Source organism: Homo sapiens, chromosome 3 (assembly GCF_000001405.40).
Source record: "Homo sapiens chromosome 3, GRCh38.p14 Primary Assembly".
NCBI lineage: Eukaryota > Metazoa > Chordata > Mammalia > Primates > Hominidae > Homo > Homo sapiens.
In genome coordinates this window covers 123552167-123570399 of record NC_000003.12, presented here as the reverse complement: position 1 = coordinate 123570399, position 18233 = coordinate 123552167, and the positions used below count along the sequence as shown (strand labels likewise).

The window sequence follows — 18233 nt, the reverse complement described above, 5'->3', positions numbered from 1 at the left end:
TGTTACTCTAATTTTTAAATCCAAACTTATTTTCATAATTTACTATGTACATCTGACTACATCATTATGTCCCCATTTACAAGTTGAAATACGTATTTTGAAAAATAAATTACTTTATTTCTTCTTTGTGTATCAATTGGGACATTGTATTTATTTGCTTTTGAAAATTTTGTGTAGGTAGGTCATTTTATCTATGAATTTCTTTTCAGAATGGTAGAGGAGGCATTATAAAATATGTGTGATTAAAAAGGGGAGAGTGCATCTGAGGACTGAGACCTACTGCTCTGTCATGCAAAGAAGACATGCTAGCCATTCATTGCTGTGTGTCCTCTCCTGCAGTGTCCTGTTGCTAATCAGCAGCCTGGATGTCTTTTTTTTTTTTTTTTTTTTTTTTTTTTTTTTTTTTTTTTTGAGATGGAGTGTTGCTCTCTCGCCCACGCTGGAGTGCAGTGGCGCAATCTCGGCTCACTGCAACCTCTGTCTGCTGGGTTCAAGCGATTCTCCTGCCTCAGCCTTCTGAGTAGCCGAGACTACAGGCATGCGCCACTATGCCCAGCTAATTTTTTGTATTTTTAGTAGAGATGGGGTTTCACCATGTTGGCCAAGCTGGTCTCAAACTCCTGACCTCAGGTCATCCGCCTGCCTCGGCCTCCCAAAGTGCTGGGATTATACGCGTGAGCCACCATGCCTGGCCAGTCTGGGTGTCTTGCTGCATACATGGATAGAATAGGTTTTCTGGGCCGGGTGCAGTGGCTCATGCCTGTAATCCCAGCACTTTAGGAGGCCAAGGCTGGCGGATCACTTGAGCCCAGGAGTTCAAGACTAGCCTGGGCAACATGGCAAAAGCCTGTCCATACAAAAAATACAAAAATTAGCCAGGCGTAGTGGCAATTGCCTGTAGTCCCAGCTACTCAGGAGGCTGAGGTGGGAGGATCGCTTGAGTCCAAGGAGGTTGAGGTTGCAGGGAGCTGTAATTGCACCACTGCACTCTGCCTGGGTGACAGAATATGATCCTGTGTCCAAAACAAATGAACAGGTTTTCTGTCTAGGTACTGTCATCTGTCTTCTTGTTTCAAATAATGTTTTTCATTCCCCATTTTGATCTAGATCTGTCTTTTAGTTCTCCTGAACTTTGCAGCAGGAGGTGTAGCTTATCATATTTACACTTTAGTATCTACTTAACAGTGTTTTCTATTGAAAAAGACTGTAAGATTTGCAATGTGGTAATTATTTTGTTCTCCTGTCAGTTACCAGCAACATTGTGCAGCTTGATTTGTTTTTTTAATCCAATCTCCCCACATCCCTCCCCCACAAATTGAGTGAAATAGTAGTTTTTGATAAGGCACAGAGCCTTATCAGGCTCAGGCATGTTTTAGATAAGCTAAGTCTTGTCAAGTCTGACTCTGTAGATCTCTCATAACTAATGCACAATGAAATAATATGATAGAATAGAAATAAAACCTAAGTTCTTGGTCCTGACCATCATTTACTGCCCTGGGCAAGTTGTGTGGCTTCTCTGAGCCTTGGTTTTCTTGTCTGCAAGTAGAGATTTTCTGTCCTGCCTATCTGCCAGGTAATTGTTAGGATCAAACAATATAAAGACTGCTAGAGAAATGTAAAAATTCTGAAATGCCCTACAGTAGCTGTTAGGTTATATCACCTAGAAAAGCTTTGGTCATTAAATCAATCTTATAAATGGCTTCAAATTACTTTTTTGCCACCACCACCCCCAGAGTTAAATCACTGCTATATTAAGGATGAGTTGGAAGGGGATTTAGAAGGACTTAATTTGCCAGTTGGATGGCCATTGAGATGGAGTGGAGATGGCAGTCTCACTCAACGCACTGGAAATAAAAATGGGGAAGACAGACCCCAGAATCGCCAGCAGGACTTAGAAATGGTTGTACTTGAGGATGAGGGGAAGGAAGGACTGTTGAACCCCAAAGACTGGGAGGCTGGTTATCAAGAGGGATAACGGGCGGAATGGAAGGAAAGCGTGTGCTTCCCACTGAGGCTGTGTTTGAGCCGCTGCTGTGGCTCCCAGATGGAGCTGTCCAGAGGCAGCTTGGGATGTAGGCCCAGATCCCCAGGAGACAGGGTTGGATTGGACCAGAGAGCACCTCTGCAGTGAGATCATTGAATGAGGCAAGATGGGGACTGAGGGTGGAACTTAGTAGAATGAATGTCTGCATTGAAGGGCCTGCCAGGCAAGAAGAGCCAACAAAGGCCCTTCTCACCCCGTGTTCCGGAGTCCGTGGTGGTTCTGTTCTATAGCATATGGGACATGGAGATGCTGTACACTTATTGCTCTTACAAGTTTGTGCATTATGAAAGAGCCCTTGATATCTGATAAGCTACTGAGTGGGAAGAGTAAATCCTCCTCAGAAAATCCTTCAAAGATACACAAACTAAAAATGAACAAACAAACAAAACTGAACAAGAATTTACATTTTGTTAAACAGCTTGTAGCCAAGTTTAAAAATGGAATGTTCATTTTTCATATTTAATACTGCTGGCAGACGCTGCTCTATTCTTACTGAAACATTAGTTTATATGAAATAAAACTTTAATATCTTGATTCTTACTAATTCTCCTCTTTTTTCCCCTTTTTTCCTCTAGATTTTACATTGTGCTATAGGTAAGTATGGATATTCCCCCCTACTATGTACAGTGAATTCTGCTTATTTAAAAAGTCATAGATGATAGGCTTTATTGATTTCTGTTAAATATTGAAAAAATGAAATGATTTAGTCATCATGTATGAAATTGCTGAAATTAGAGTGGCTTTCAGTTTCTGAAATCATAGGTACTATTTAGATGTCATGACTGAACACTTTATTAAAGTTCACAGCTATTTTGTTCTGTTAATTTAAAAGAGGTGTCTCCCACCTTCTCAGTGTAAGGGTAATAGAAACATTAGCATTTTTGTAAAAATGTGGCTGGAGTTCTGGTGCTGGGCTGTGTTGAAAAGCCCTCTCTGTGATCACTTAAATGGTATCATTCTCTCTCCTTATCTTTCAAATGGGAGTATTGCCTACCTCCCAGGTGAATATTACATGTTTGTGAGAGGGATTAAAGAAGTACTACGTATAAAGGGTTATACAAATGTAGGGGATTTCTACTAAAAGCAGATACAATATGTTTTATTTTCCTTTTTGTGGGGAGGGGCGAGTCATCAAATATTGCTGTGGAATAGAGGCATAACGTCTAGTTTGGGGTGGCTAGAACCTTCTAATTGAATAAAATCCAGTCTTGGAAAGTTGATAGACCCTATAGAGCAAGACCGTAGTGATTGCTGTGCACTCCAGGTATGTCTCCCAAAGGGAGGATTTGAAGTTGATACTTAGAAGCACTGAAAGTCAAAAAATTTGAGAACTGCAAATCTATACCGTTATGGCCCCATCAATTTAATCCATAACTAAAGTGGGTAGTTGCTATATTCAGGGAAACTTACAGTTCAGATGGGCGCACAGGTAGAGAACACCAGACTGTCCACTGTGGGTCTAGCAGAGGTCACTGTGATATCTGGCTCCATTACCTTCTTTTTTTGTTGTTTTAGGGACAGGGTCCCAGGCTAGAGTGCATTGATGCGATCATAGCTCAGCCTCCTGAGTAGCTGGGATTACAGGCGTGCGCCACCATGCCTGGCTAATTTTTGTATTTTTAGTAGAGATGGGGTTTTACCATGTTGGCCAGCCTGGTCTCAAACTCCTGGCCTCAAGTGATCCACCCACCTTGGCCTCCCAAAGTGCTGGGATTACAGGCATGCAGTCACCACGCCTGGCCAAGAACCTTATTATAAAGAATTGCACCTTGGGCCAGGTGTGGTGGCTCATGCCTGTAATACCAGCACCTTGGGAGGCTGAGGCAGGAGGATCACTTGAGGCCAGGAGTTCGAGACCAGCCTGGGCAACACAGGGAGACCCCATCTCTACAAAAAATAAAAAACGAGCCAGGTGTGGTCGTGCATGCCTGTGGTCCCAGCTACTCAGGAGGCTGAGGTGGGAGGATGGCTTGAGCCCAGGAGGTTGAGGCTTCAGTGAGCCACGATCACACCATTGCATTTTAGCCTGGGAAACGAGTGAGTCTCTGTTTAAAAAATAAAAAAAAAAGGATTTAAAAGATTTGCATCTCTGCTGGTTTCCCACTTCTTACCTGGGATTACGGGTAGAGAGTCCAGGGACCCCCTCAAATGATGTGCAAAATTTTATACGTATGTTTCTGTGTTTATTTGGAGGGGCGTGTAGGGAGAGAATTCATAGCTTCAATTAGATTCTCTGAGGAGTCTATGATTCCCAAAAGGCTAAGAAATACTGCTTAGGACCTTTGAATGGTAGATTTGAAAGTGGCTTGGGGGCTCATCTGTCCCGTGGTCTGCTTTCCCAGAGAAAACTAGTGATCTGGCCCAGCTCATACAGCTGGTAAATGGGGAAGCTCATTTGGAGACAGGTCAGTCTGACACCTGCCTGATTTCATTTTATGATGAATGGGTATTAAACTTTTGTGCAGTCTTACACGCATTTCCTTTTTAGTCCTTTTTAATTTTGAAATGAAAAATTTTATCCTTTCATAAACGGTTAAATAAATCTTAAGCACATCCTAGCAGATTGGGGGATATATTTGGCCAGAGAGAGTTCTGGAACCTCTCAGGCCTTCTCCACATGACTGAACCCTGCCTCATTCTTCCTCAACTCTCTTAACCTTCAGCTGTCTCTGTATAAAGCTCTCAGATGCGTCTTTTCCAAGTATCTTAGCCGGTTCTGGCTGCTGTAACAAAATACCATAAATTGGGTAGCTTATAAATAACAAAAATTTATTTTTCACAGTTCTGGGGGCTGGGAATTCCAAGATCAAGGTGGTGCTGACAGATTCCCTGTCTGGTGAGGGCCTGTTGCTCATAGACAGTAGCTTCTTACTGTGTCCTTGTATGGTGGAAGGGGCAAGTGAGCTCCCTTGGGCCTTTTATAAGGGCACTAACCCCATTCATGAGATCCCTTGTGACCTAATCGCCTCCTGAATACCCCACCACTTATTACTTTTGCAGTGGGCATTAGGTTTCAACATAGGAATTTTGGAGGGACGTAGACATTCAGGGTACAGCACCAAGCATGTGTACTATGATTTTTAGTTAATGTTAGTTTTATTTTAATACCCCAAATCCCTTTATCTGTCTTAAAATATACCCTTATATGTCTTTATAAAATTTCTCTACACCTGGAAATAAAGTTTCTGACAAGTATATTTTTTCATTCACACCAAGAAAATTATCGAACGCCTAGCACGTGTGCATACCAGGTGCTGTTGGGCAGTGGGAGTAGAGAGGTGAATGGGCTCAGACCTAGGTCCAGGAAACCCACAGTCAGATGGGCATCCCCTGAGTTCCTCTGGTATAGTCCATCCTGAGGACTGGTGTGCACATCACATGCTGCTCAGAGGGTTGGCAGGTTTGCTTCCCCCTCAGACTCTGAGCTCCTCGAGGGCAGATTCTGTTTCATTAAGCTCTGCATCCCCAGAGCCCAGCGGCAGGATCCTTCTTATATCCTCAAGGACCTTGTTCTGTCTGTACATCTCTTGCTCCTGCCTCATCACCCTGTGCTATCTGCCTTTTCCTTCTCAGTGCACAAAATGCTCAGAGCACTCTGTCTTAAAAATCTTTTAACCTGGCCATTGACCCTGTATTTCCCTTATACTACTATATAACTGTTCTCCGTCCCTTTTCCCAGATTTATGGTAGGCTCTTTCTACTTCCTCATGCCCATCGATACCTGAACCCTGCAGTTGGGTGTCTGTTCCCCTTGTTCTACAAAAAATCACCCTCTGGTCTAAAGTCAGCAACAATGTCTACTGGATTCTAAGGACACTGTTGGAAGTTCCTGGACTTAGCTACATGGGGCACCGCTGATGACTCCCTCCTGGAGATCCTGCTCCTTCAGCCTTCGTTGGACTGAGCCCTCCTGAAATACCTTATCCTCTGTGGTCCTTTTCTTTCTTTGGGTGCTTTTCTTTCTTTCCTTGTCCCTTAATCATGAGTGTTTCTGGAGTTCTGTCTTAGCTCATTGCCCTTCTGACTGAACATAACCTCTGTGGGTGATCTCTTCTCATGGCATGAGATATGCATACCTTTCCAATTCCAAGCCACACCTGCATCCCAGACTCCAGCCCTGTCCACTGATTTCCTGGATGTCTGCTCCTGGGTGCACACAGGCACCTCCTCAGCATGACCCACACTCCCAGACTCGTTCTACCTCACTATTCTGTCTGTCAGGGCTGCCGCCGGCCACCAGCCATTCAGTCATTCATCCCAGACGAGACCTTGTCGATAGTGTATGCTCCTCTCTCACCGGCATGCCTGTAGCCAGGCAGTCATCAGGTTTTGTCAATTCAGTTTGCTGGGTGTCTTTCAGGTTGTCTTGTTTCTTCATCCCTACTTGGGACCTCAGTACGTCTCATCTGGATTCCCATGTATCTTCCTGAATTTCTAGGCTTATAGCAATAATAATAATAATGAGCCACCATTTCTTAAATACTTACTGTATTCCAGTGCTTTACATTCATTATCTCATTTGCTTCCCATCTTCCAGCTGAGACTGAGGGTTAGAAGGTTTCCTGTCTTTGTTCTTACCACAAATAAATGTGTGAGGTGATGCATATGTTAATTAGCTTGATTTAGTCATTCCACAGTATATTCATATTTCATAACATCACGTTGTACACCATAAGTGTGTGTGTGTGTGTGTGTGTGTGTGTGTGTGTGTATATATATTTTTTTGTCAATTCAAAAAAGAAGAAATGTATCATGTCTTGCCAAAGTTCACACAGCACTAAGCCCTAGCCCAGGACTTGAACCTATGGCTGTGTGGCTCCAAGTCCATGCTCCACACTGCTCCTGTGGGTTTAGTTATAGGACCATTCTGAGCATGTCATTTGCCTACTTAAAACCTTTTGCTGGTTTAAATTTCTTCATGATCTGTGCCCTGCCCACTTCTCCAGTCTTTCCAGTGCCTACTCCCTGCCTCCCACTCCATGCTCATCTGCGCTGTGCCCAGGCTCTGCTCTCTGCCTGGAATGAGCAGCCCAGCCCCTTCAGCTGGCCAGCTCTGTGTGTCTCTTCCAGTAAACTTCCCTACCACCCACAGCTAGAGTAGAGACTCTTCCTCACTCTTCTATAATACCTTGCACCTAACTCGGTATTATACCTTCACAATGTATTATGTGTGTGGTCTGACACCGCACCCATGTCCCCACCAGTACCACTGAATATTTTTAGAGCAAGAGCTATTTCTTATTGATCTCTGTATCCTGGTAAGTACAGTAAGTACATAGTACCTAGCAGGAGTTTGGTGAATATTTGATCATCATCTTACCAAATTCTGGTGGGAATTTCCAAAACTTATTTCAAAGTTATTTCAGTTCCTTAAAGGAATTAGAGATAACAATAAGGAGTAAGCTGTTTCTAGCATTAACCTAAAGGCAATGCTTCATTTTTACTTAGATCACTTAAGTTTATTTGTGGAATGATGGTTTATTTTTCGGTAGCATTCTGAAAGTTTTCATTACAACAACTTAGTCTTCAGAAACTTATTTTAAAGCCTTGAGATACCTTTAGTTTACATATTGTTGATGAAAAGTATAGACCTGAGTCAGACTAGGGTTACTCACTAGCTGTGTGATTCCAGGAAGTAACTCAATTTTTGTGCTCATTTAATTCTTCATCAGTAAAAGGGGGATAAGAATACCTACCTCACAGATTGCTGTGAAAATTAAATGGAAAAATGCATGAAGAACACTCAGCACAATATCTGAAACATGGCTGTATTGAAAATTGCCCAATAAAATGGTAGCTCTTATTATTACTTAAGCAACATAATCTCATAGAATAATATTAAAAGATTATTGTTCCTCTAATGTTCAATATTTAGATATATATAAATGTAACTCTTTCATATTCTTAATTTTCTTAAATTATAATTTCTTTGCAAGTGAGCACTTCAGGGCCCTTCATTCTTAGTATGAGTTGGGGTTGCGTCTTGCTCACGGTTGTGACAATGCAACTTGGCAAATACGGCCTCCAGAAACAATCAACTAAAATCCATGGAGGGGCTCATTTCTGTGTAGCTGTAAATGAGTTCCCACACCTCAACTTTTTCAAAGTAGGTGGTTTGTTTTGTATTGATAATAGAAGGATGGGATTTCTCAAATGCTGTGGCTGCAGCCCTCAATCTAAGATTTGCAAAGCTTTTATATTTATTCAGTGTTTTTCCTTTTAGAAATGAGAATTTTAAAAAATAGGCCAGTCGTGGTGGCTCACACCTGTAATCCCAGTACTTTGGGAGGCCAAGGCGGGCAGATCACCTGAGGTCAGGAATTTGAGACCAGCCTGGCCAACATGGTGAAACCCTGTCTCTACAAAAAGTACAAAAATTAGCTGGACATGGTGGCAGGCGCCTGTAGTCCCAGCTACTTGGGAGGCTGAGGTGGGAGAATCACTTGAACCCAGGAGGCGGAGGTTGCAATGAGCCGAAATTGTGCCTCTGCACTCCAGCCTGGGCGACAGAGTGAGACCCCGTCTCAAAAAATAAACAGACACCAAAACCCACCCTGAGATATGTTTTTTTTTTTTTCCGTAATACTGCAAAGAAGAGTTGTGGTTTTTTATTCATGTGGTGTGATTTGTGTTGAATGAAGTATTAAGAAGTGTTATATCTTTTCTGTGTCGTCTTCAAGATTAGATTGTGGAAGAGGCATGGGGGCTATGGTTCTCAGCTGACTCTGCAATATGGTTCCCCTCTTTATGGATGGGGATTAGAGGTGCAGGTAGTGGAACTGAAGATACTCTTGGTAAGATGTGACACTGTGCATTTAGTGAACTTTCATGTCAGAAATTGTACTACCAACTCTAGAAGTTTTCTTTTGATAGAAAATTGTAGCTCAGTCACAGCCCAGAGAGTTATATCTAAAGCTTAGTATTTGCACTTTAATTTCATCAACAGGCAGGGACAAAAGACCTTTCACTTAGGATATCCTGGATTTGTGGTTTCAGATATTTGCTGTGTGTGCCAGCTTGCACTCCTCCCTCAAACAGAAGACACTTTATTAAAAAATTTTAAGTGAATTCCAAAAAAATCATAATCACCTTAATATTCATCGGTAGCGTATGGCTCCAGACTGATTTTATTAGGTAACAAAGGTTGCCAGGTAGGAAGCAGAGCAGCCGCTAGGGAGACCCACCCCTCTTCCTACCAAAAAAATCTTTCCAGCCCACTAATTAGAGCTAACTGAATCCTCCCTTGAACTGTAACACTCCCTCCTCTGCCCCCCCGCTACTTTGAGAGGGCCAAGTTTTTATCAGTCATTCACAATGCAGTATTGTAAAGGAACTGCCATCACTTATTTTTAAAACCAGACACAGAACCCACCAAATTTTAGCAGAAGAGAACTCTGGAAGGAGAGCATCTTAGAGGGAAGGGGGGAATTCCTCCAAATTTCTCTCTCCTGGAATTCTGCTTTCACACCTGTGCCCAGCCTTCAGCAGTGTGGCTGGGCACAGAAACATTACTGCATTGTTTCCACTTAGCTGACATTTTAAAAATGAACCTTACCAAATTGTAAGAAAGAGACAAAAAGGAATAATTACCCAAAATACAGACAGTACAGTATAAAAACCACCATCCCCAAAGAACAAGTTTCTAATCCAAAGCTCTAACTCCCTTTTAGTTTCTGGGGGCTGGCGCAGCTTCTACTGGCTCTCTTTAAGCCTTGTTCTTACCGGGACCCCTGTCACAAATATGGATAACAAACATTTCTTATTCAGATTTAAATATTGCTTTCTGCCTGGGAGCATGTTTAGTGGTGGTGATGGCAGGGGGATGGGGGAGAAAGGGATGTAACCTAGCCAGGCAGCTAGCCTGTCTCCCCTGCTTAGAGGTTTCTAAGGCTGACCCCTGGAGAGCCGCCTGGGGAGATTGGAGGCCTGGGTAGGAGGTTGCCAAATCCAACCTTCCCCTCCTTTGCAATTAATTCTGCCTTTGTCATTTATTCAAATACAGTAGTTTTCCAGCATCCTGACAATGGAGCTCTAACGGTCAAGACCATAAGTGGTCATATTCAAACTTTAATCTTTCCCAAATCAGTTAAGCGCTTCAGACCAGACCAGCTTAGTAGCCTCCCTCTGCCTTAGCTCTGGTTCATTCTGTTGTCTCCTGATCAAATGTTCCCTGCTCCCCTCCAGACAAGGAGAGAAGAAAATGCACCTGCATCTTGTGCTCCTGATACACAAAGCTTCAGCCCCTGTTCTCTGAATAAACCTTGCTTTTTCACACCTCCATAATTTTGTACATATGGTTTCCTTGGCGTGGAACACCAAGCTCTGTTAGTTGTTCCCTGCTCTGTGTGAATGTAACTGAGATGAAGGAAAGGAAGAGAGAAATAGAGCATGCTCATTTGTAGCCTAAAGAGCCTGAGCAGGGAGGGTGGAAGACTTACCCAGGTATACACCACCTGGTACCTCGCACTTTGCAAGCACTCAGTGAGCAGCACCCAAGTATGAGGCAAAAACAGTCCCCGAGGATTTCTGTGCCTAGTTGGAGTTCAGAAGGGAAAGCTATGAAGAGAGCCCAGATCAGGGAATTTTATCCTCTGCTGTCCCTGCAGGAACAACTAAGTCTTTCTTTGGAATGGAAACCTATTATTGAGACCTTAAGGTGCCTTCTCTATGAGATAGTATTAGCTGGCTGTCCAGTCCGTCAGAAATCAACCCAGGGCACACCCTGTTGGAAACATTACTAGTCGTTTGACAAGTCAGACACCTTCCCTCTGGGCCTAGTTTCCACATGTGAAAAACGAGGGCATTGGACTGAATACGTGATGATCTCTATCATTCCTTACAGCCACTCGTTCTGAAATTCTGTGAACCTGTAAATGTGATGTTGCTTCAGAAATGAATGTCAATGATCTGAGTAGTGATGTAAAAGGAGGGTACGCTAGATGTTTAAACGTGCCAAAGTATGAGTGTTTGGAAATTCATTTCAAGTACAGTAGTTCTACTACCTTTTTCCCTCTAGATAAATTTTGAAAGTCCCATCAGAATACAGAATTGAGAGAGGACACACACAACACGTTTTCTGTAACAGACGTTTACTATGGTCACCACTAGATGGCACCCTTGTATTAGTAAGGAGATTTTTCTCAGAAATTATAGGGCTTCGGGATGACTTCTAATAAAAATAGATAGTAATTAATCAATAGCTGAAACTGAGGAATGAGCAAGTTAAGCAGAGAAAATAGAAATGGATGTTTTTCTATCACTGTCTGATGACTTGATCCTTAAGATTCGAGGTAAGGAAAAGCTGGAGCTGTCTACATTGCCCTGATGGAGATTATTTTATAAATATTTCTTAATTGTAAAGCATAAGATACCTTTAAATCCAACATGAGTTTGATTTGCTTGATGAAAATGGGTGCCATATTTCAGCAGTTCTTTGGTGCGATGGTTTGTGATAGTCTGAAGTCAACCTTACACCTATTCTTAGCTTCAAAAGCAAGGTTAGTCCTGCAAAGTTGGGAACACCAAGTAGTTACCAAGTTGAGTAAATCCTGTTGAACCAAAAAGTGAAAACTTGAGTCATCTTTTAGCCAAAGAATAATTTGATTTATGCTTCTGTGGCAGGAGTTGAACAATGTGTTAAAAGGGAGCAAGAAAGCTTCGGAAAATTTGTATGACCGTGATATGTCATTTTTATAGTTCAGTTTCCTTTTCTTGGGAGAGGATTTTTTTTCTCTTCATTCACTGTAAACATCTTTCCATTAATTTTTAAAAATATGCTATTTTTTTAGAGCAGTTTTAGGTTCACAGCAAAATTGAGAGGAAGGTACAGACATGTCCCATAGGCCCCCTTCCTCCACGCATGCATAGTCTCCCATTATCAACATCCCCAACCAGAGTAGTACATTTGTTACAATTGATTAATGTACATTGACACATCATTTTTGTCCAAAGCCCATAGTTCACTCTTAGCATTGTACAATCGTTGGGTTTGGACAAATTTATAATGACATATATCTAATATTATACTGTCATACAGAGTGTTTTCACTCCCACTCTGGGGCTTGTCTTAAAAATCTTCTGTACTCTACCTGTTTATCCCCCAGAGCCCTGGAAGCCATTGATCTTTCCACTGTCTCCATGGTTTTGCCTTTTCCAGAATGTCATACAGTATGCAGCCTTTTCAGACCGACTTCTTTGACTTAGTAATATGTGTTTAAGTTTTCTCCATGTCTTTTCATGGCTTGATAGCCCATTTCATTTTAGCACTGAATAATACCCCGTTGTCTGGATGTACCACAATTTACCCATTCTCCTAGTAAAGTACATCTTGGTTGCTACCAGGTTTTGCCAATTGTGAATAAAGCTGCTATGGACATTTGTGTGCAGGTTTTTGTGCAGATGCAAGTTTTCAAATCCTTTGGATAAATACCAAAGAGCATGATTGCTAGATTATATGCTAAGGGTATGTTTAGTTTTGTAAGAATCTGCCAAACAGTCTTCTAAAGTGTCTGTACCGTTTTGCTTTCCCAAGAGTAATGAATGAGAGTTTCTTATTCCACATCCTCTGCTGCGTTTGGTATTGTCAGTGCTCTGGATTTTGACCCTTCTAATAGGTGTGTAGTGGTGTATTGATTATACATGACGTAGAGCATCTTTTAATATGCTTATTTGCATCTGTAGGTCCTCTTTGATGAGGTGTTTTTTGTTGTTTATTTTTTTGAGACAGTCTCACTCTGTCATCCAGGCTGGAGTGCAGTGGAGCAATCATAGCTCACTGTAGCCTTGAACTCCTGGGCTCAAGTGATCCTCCTGCCCCAGCCTCCCAAGTAGCTGGGACTACAGGTGTGAGCCACCATGCCCAGCTAATTTTTTTAATTTTTTGTACAGATGGGATCTTGCTATCTTTCTCAAGCTGGTCTTGGCCTCAAGTGACCCTCCCACCTCAGCCTGGTAAAGTATCTTTTAAGGCAGCGGTCCACAACCTCTTTGGCACCAGGGACTGGTTTCGTGAAAGACATTTTTTCCATGGACTGGGGATAAGGGGAGGGGGTGGTTTTGGGATGAAATTGTTTCACTTCAGATCATCAGGCATTAGATTCTCATAAGGAGCACTCAACCTAGGTCCCTTGAATGCACAGTTGACACTAGGGTTCATGCTCCTATGAGAATCTAACACTGCTGCTGATCTGACAGGAGGTGGAGCTCAGGCAGTGATACTCACTCACCTGCTGCTCTCCTGCTGCGCAGCCCAGGGACTGGGGACCCCTGTTTTAGGGTCTTTTTAAGTTTAGGATAACAGTCCTTTGTCAAATATTATCTTTTGCAAATATTTTCTCCTGGTCTGAGGCTTGTCTTTTTATTCCCTTTACAGTATCTTTTGCGGAGCAGAAATTTTTAATTTTAGTCAAGTCCAGTTTGCCAGTTTGTTGGACTTCAGACATTCTAATAGGCGTGTAGTGGTAGTTGTTGTTTTAATTTTTATTTCTCTAATGACAAATGCTATGGCACATCTTTTCATATGCTCATTTGTCATCTTTTGGGGCAAGGTGTCTATTCAGGTCTTTGCTCATTTTTCAGTTGGATTGTTTTTTTGTTGAGATTTAAGAATTCTTTCTATATTTTGGATACAAATTCTTTATCAGACAGGTGTTCAGCAAATATTTTCTCTTGCTCTGGGGCTTGTCTTTTGATTCTTTTAATAGTGTCTTTGAGGAAGCACAGATTTTTAAATTTAATAATGTACAACTTAACCAGTTTTCCCTTTCATGGATTGTGCTTTGGTATTGTGTCTGAAAACTTGTTACTATAGATATCTCGATTACCCTGATTTGATCTTTACATATTACATGAATATGTCAAAATATCACATGTACCCTGAAAATATGCACATCTATTGTATATCATTTTTTTTTTTTTTTTGAGACGGAGTCTTGCTCTGTCACCCAGGCTGGAGTGCAGTGTCATGGTCATGGCTCGCTGCAGCCTTGATCTGCAGGGCTCAGGTGATCCTCCCACCTCAGCTTCCCAAGCAGCTGGGACTACAGGCGTGCACCACCACACTTGGCTAGTTTTTGTGCTTTTTGTAGAGATGGGACTTCTCCGTGTTGCCAGGGATGGTCTTGAACTCCTGGGGTCAATAGATCTGCCTGCCTTGGCCTCCCAAAGTGCTGGAATTACAGGCATGAGCCACTTCACCCGGCCTCAATTTATTTTTTAGAGATGGGGTCTTGCTGTGTTGCCCACACCAGTCTCAAATTCCTGGCCTCAGGTGATCCTCCCGCCTCAGTCTGTGATCCATTTTGAGTTAATTTTTGTGAAAGGTGTCAGGTCTGTGTCTAGTTTTATTTATTTATTTTTTTACATATAGTCATCCAGTTGTTCGGCACGATTTGTTGAAAAGTCTATTCTTTCTCCATTGCGTTGTCTTTATGCCATTGTCAAAGATCAGTTATTGCTGGATCTATTTCTGGCCCCTCTGTTCTATTGATGTATATGTTTATTATTTTGCCAATACCAGGATTACCTTGATTATAAGTCTTAAAATCTGGTAGTAGAAGTCCTCTAACTTTATTCCTTCTTTTTTCAGTATTGTATGGGTCTTTTGCCTTTCCATATGAACTTTGGAATCTTTTTGTCAACATCTACAAAATAGCTTCCTGGGATTTTGAGTGGGATTGTGTTGAATCTATAGAGCAAGTCGGGAATAATTGACACCTTAACAATATTGACTCTTTCAATCCACAGACATATAATATTTCTCCACTTATTTAGATCTTTGATTTCTTTTATCATTGTTTTGCAGTTTTTCACATAGCAATTCTCTGTTTTGTTAGAGTTATATGTGTTTTTATTTGGTGTTAGTATAAATGATTTTTTTTTAACTTTAAAATTTTGGTGGTTCATTGCTGGTACAGAGAAAGGCAATTGACCTTCATATATTGATCTTATATCCTGTGACCTTGCTATACTTGCTTATTAGTTCTAGGATTTTGTGTGTGTGTGTGTTTGTAGATTCTTTGAGATCTTCTATATAGATAATCATATCATCTTTGAACAAAGACAGTTTTATTTCTTGCTTTTCAGTTTATTTACCTTTTATTTCTTTTTCTTGTCTTACTGCACTGGCTAAGACTTCCAGTATGACATTCTTCATATTCTTTACTCAATAAGATAAAATTATTCCTAGCTCAGTTTTCTCCCCAACCAATTTTGAAGGCATATACACTTTCTACTTCATTTTTACTATCAGGGTATAAAATTCAATGTCTATTTTTTTAAGTTCTTCTGTATCCTTACTTATTTTTTTGTCTGCTTGACCTGTCTTGCACTTAGAATGATAATGTTGTTAACATCTCTAAGTATTAATGTGTTTCTAATTTTCCTTGCATCTTCTATAGCAATTGCTTTAGCAAAAGTTGTTGCTATGTTATTTGATGCATAAATATTTATAACTGTTATTTCTTCATTGTCAGTTGTGACTTTAGCATTTAAAAAAGTCTGTCAGATTTAATGCTTTTTTGTCTTAAATCTTACTTTATCGGAATCAAAATCATGACCCTCTACTTTCTTTTGTTTCCATTTGCCTGATATGCCCTTGTGCATTCTTTTATTTTGTGTCCCTTAATCAATCACTTTAATATTAGCATAGAGTTGGGTTTTGTTTTGTGAGCCAGTTTGAAAATCTTTCATATAATAGGTGAGTTAAGCTCGTTCATAGTTTTTGATATGACAGGTATGTTTATCTTACTCTGTTACATTTATGTTATAATTGCTACATACTCTGTTATATTTGCTGTATTTGCCTACCTGATGTGTTTTCTTTATTTTCTTTAATTTTTTTTCGAGAGATGGGGTCTCACTGTGTTGCCCAGGCTGGAGTGCAGTGGCTATTCACAGAAGTGATCATAGCACACTTTAGCCTTGGACTCCTGGGCTCAAGTGATCCTTCTGCCTCAGCCTCTCAAGCAGCTGGGACTACAGATGTGTACCACCATGTCCAGCTACTGATATGTCTTTATATCTTTTTAAATGCCCTTAGTCCTCTGTTTTCTTATTTAATTTTTTACTCTCAAGCTTGTCAGTTTTTAAAGGTTGTCTTTTAACTCCCACCTATTGCCAGTATAACAGTGAGCTTATTCTACTTTCCTCTTTCCCTTCTCCCATTTTTAAACTTACATTGTTTATAGCTTGTCAGAACATATAACATTTATATATTATTCTTTTAGTTGGATGAAGGATAATATATATTATATAAAAGAATAATATATATTATTAGTTTGGCATCAGACTCCTCAAGGGAAACATAAAAACAAGGTGACAATGCAGCAGCATTTTCAAGAAATTTAAGGGAAAAAAAAGTCAAGGGAAGAATAATATATATTATATAAAATAATAATATATATTATTCTTTTAGTTGGATGAAGCTCATTCTCTAGTAGTGTCAGGAACTGTGACACATTGGAGATGTCACCTTACTCACAAGCTAGTAAGTTTGTTAGCATTTCATGGATCCTGACAGAAAACATGAGACTCTTGGGCCAGATACAAATATATTGCCATATTACTCATGGGAAAAACAATAGCCAGAACACCCTCTTCATTTGCATCAGTTCTCCATGTCCCCCAAGTCCCATGGGGATGACACATGTGCGTCTAGATGAATATCTAAATATGCAGTGGTTTATATTAGAGCACTTGAGGAATCTAGTGTTTTTATAGTAAATGGAAGCTCTTTGGGAATCAATGCTGCCTTATCCTTCCAGGTTGCTCCTTGAAAACACAAGCCTAAGAAATGACCTGGGAAAAGAGCAGTCAGGAGCTTGCCTTTTTGGCATACCTAGCAGGAATGCCCAGGGCCCATGGCAGAATGCCTGTCCCCAAAAGATTCCCAAGAAGGGCTGTGGGCATAGTATTCTCTGAGTCCATCCATGTTTAAGACTTTTTCTGTAGCCTTGATATTTGAAGGACTGATTTGCTAGATACAAAATCCTTAGTTGACTTTTTCTTCCCTTAAATTTCTTGAAAATGCTGCTCCATTGTCACCTTGTTTTTATGTTTCCCTTGGGGAGTCTGATGCCAACCTAATTATCTTGCCCTTTTGAGATATGTGGTCTTTTTATCATAAAACTCTGAGATCTTTCTCTCTCTCTGTCTCTGTAAATATACATACTTTTTAAAGTCTAATAGTTTTACTAGGACATGCCTCAATTGAGCTTTACAGGGTGATTTTCCCAGATACCCAATAGGCCCTTTCAGTATGTAGATTTGGGCCTTCTTTTGTTTCTGAAAGTGTTATTAGACTATAGTTTTAAATTTTACTTCTGTTTCATTATTTTGTTTCTCTTTTAATTTAAGGATTCCAAACATATGTGTGTTGGATCTTCTTTGCCTCCTTCCCTTTCAACTGCTTTACTCTGATCCCTCTTCTTTGCTTATCCTATTTTCATTCTCATGGTTATTTTGCTTTTATTATTCAATTTTCTTTATTACATTTTTATTTGAATCTGTTCTCCTTTGGGTGCTTTGAAATTTAGTCTTCATTTCAGATATAATTTTATCTTTTTCTTTTTTTTACTGAATTTAATCAATTTTTTGTTCAGTTCTGCCCACTTTTAGTCCATTTCTATTTTCAGTTTTTGAATTGATTAAACATGTATTTTTTTCATAGCCCAAATGCCTATTTAAGGATATTTAATTCAGTTTGGGTTATTGTGTTAAAGTTTCCTTTGTGATTTTTTGGAGGGCATTTTCATTAGCTGAAATGTTTTGATCTTCTTTTTCTATTTTCTCCTGAAAATGGTTTTGTATAGTTGTAAACTACTTGCATCTGCTCCTTTTGTAGACAAGATTGGAAGTTTGGGTTGGTTTATAAGATCCCTAGTTTGCAAACACTGTAATGCTTAAATGCAGTGAAGTATAGTCTCTTTAGTGGATGGCTTTTTGCTTGAAGAGGTCGGTGGGGGAGGAATTATATGACCCTGATTGTTTTACCTCACCTTTGTGTTACAGGAATCTAAATTTCCTCCTGCCTCTTTCTCTTTCCCTATCCAGTCACTAGAGGGCACCTCCTCTCCCTTCTTTTTTACTCATTTCTTCCTTAGAAGCAATGCCGTTTTCAGATTGCCATAGCATCCCACAGACTCTGTCTCTTCCCTGTGGTTAGTGCTCCAAATAAGATGTTTTTCAGTGT

The 18233-nt window shown here is 40.5% G+C and overlaps 1 protein-coding gene across 8 annotated transcripts in view; it reads left to right on the top strand.

Annotated features, from left to right (window-relative positions):
- HACD2 (3-hydroxyacyl-CoA dehydratase 2) overlaps nt 1–18233 on the top strand; it is a 93500-nt gene that overhangs the window by 14654 nt on the left and 60613 nt on the right. For 7 of the 8 annotated variants that reach the window (NM_198402.5, XM_047447663.1, NM_001329784.4 and 4 more), the window contains one exon: nt 2620–2638. The exons of the other annotated variant lie outside the window; for it this stretch is intronic. In NM_198402.5, the coding sequence (NP_940684.1) occupies nt 2620–2638 (19 nt within the window). The remainder of the gene's footprint in view (nt 1–2619; nt 2639–18233) is intronic. 8 annotated transcript variants of the gene reach the window in all.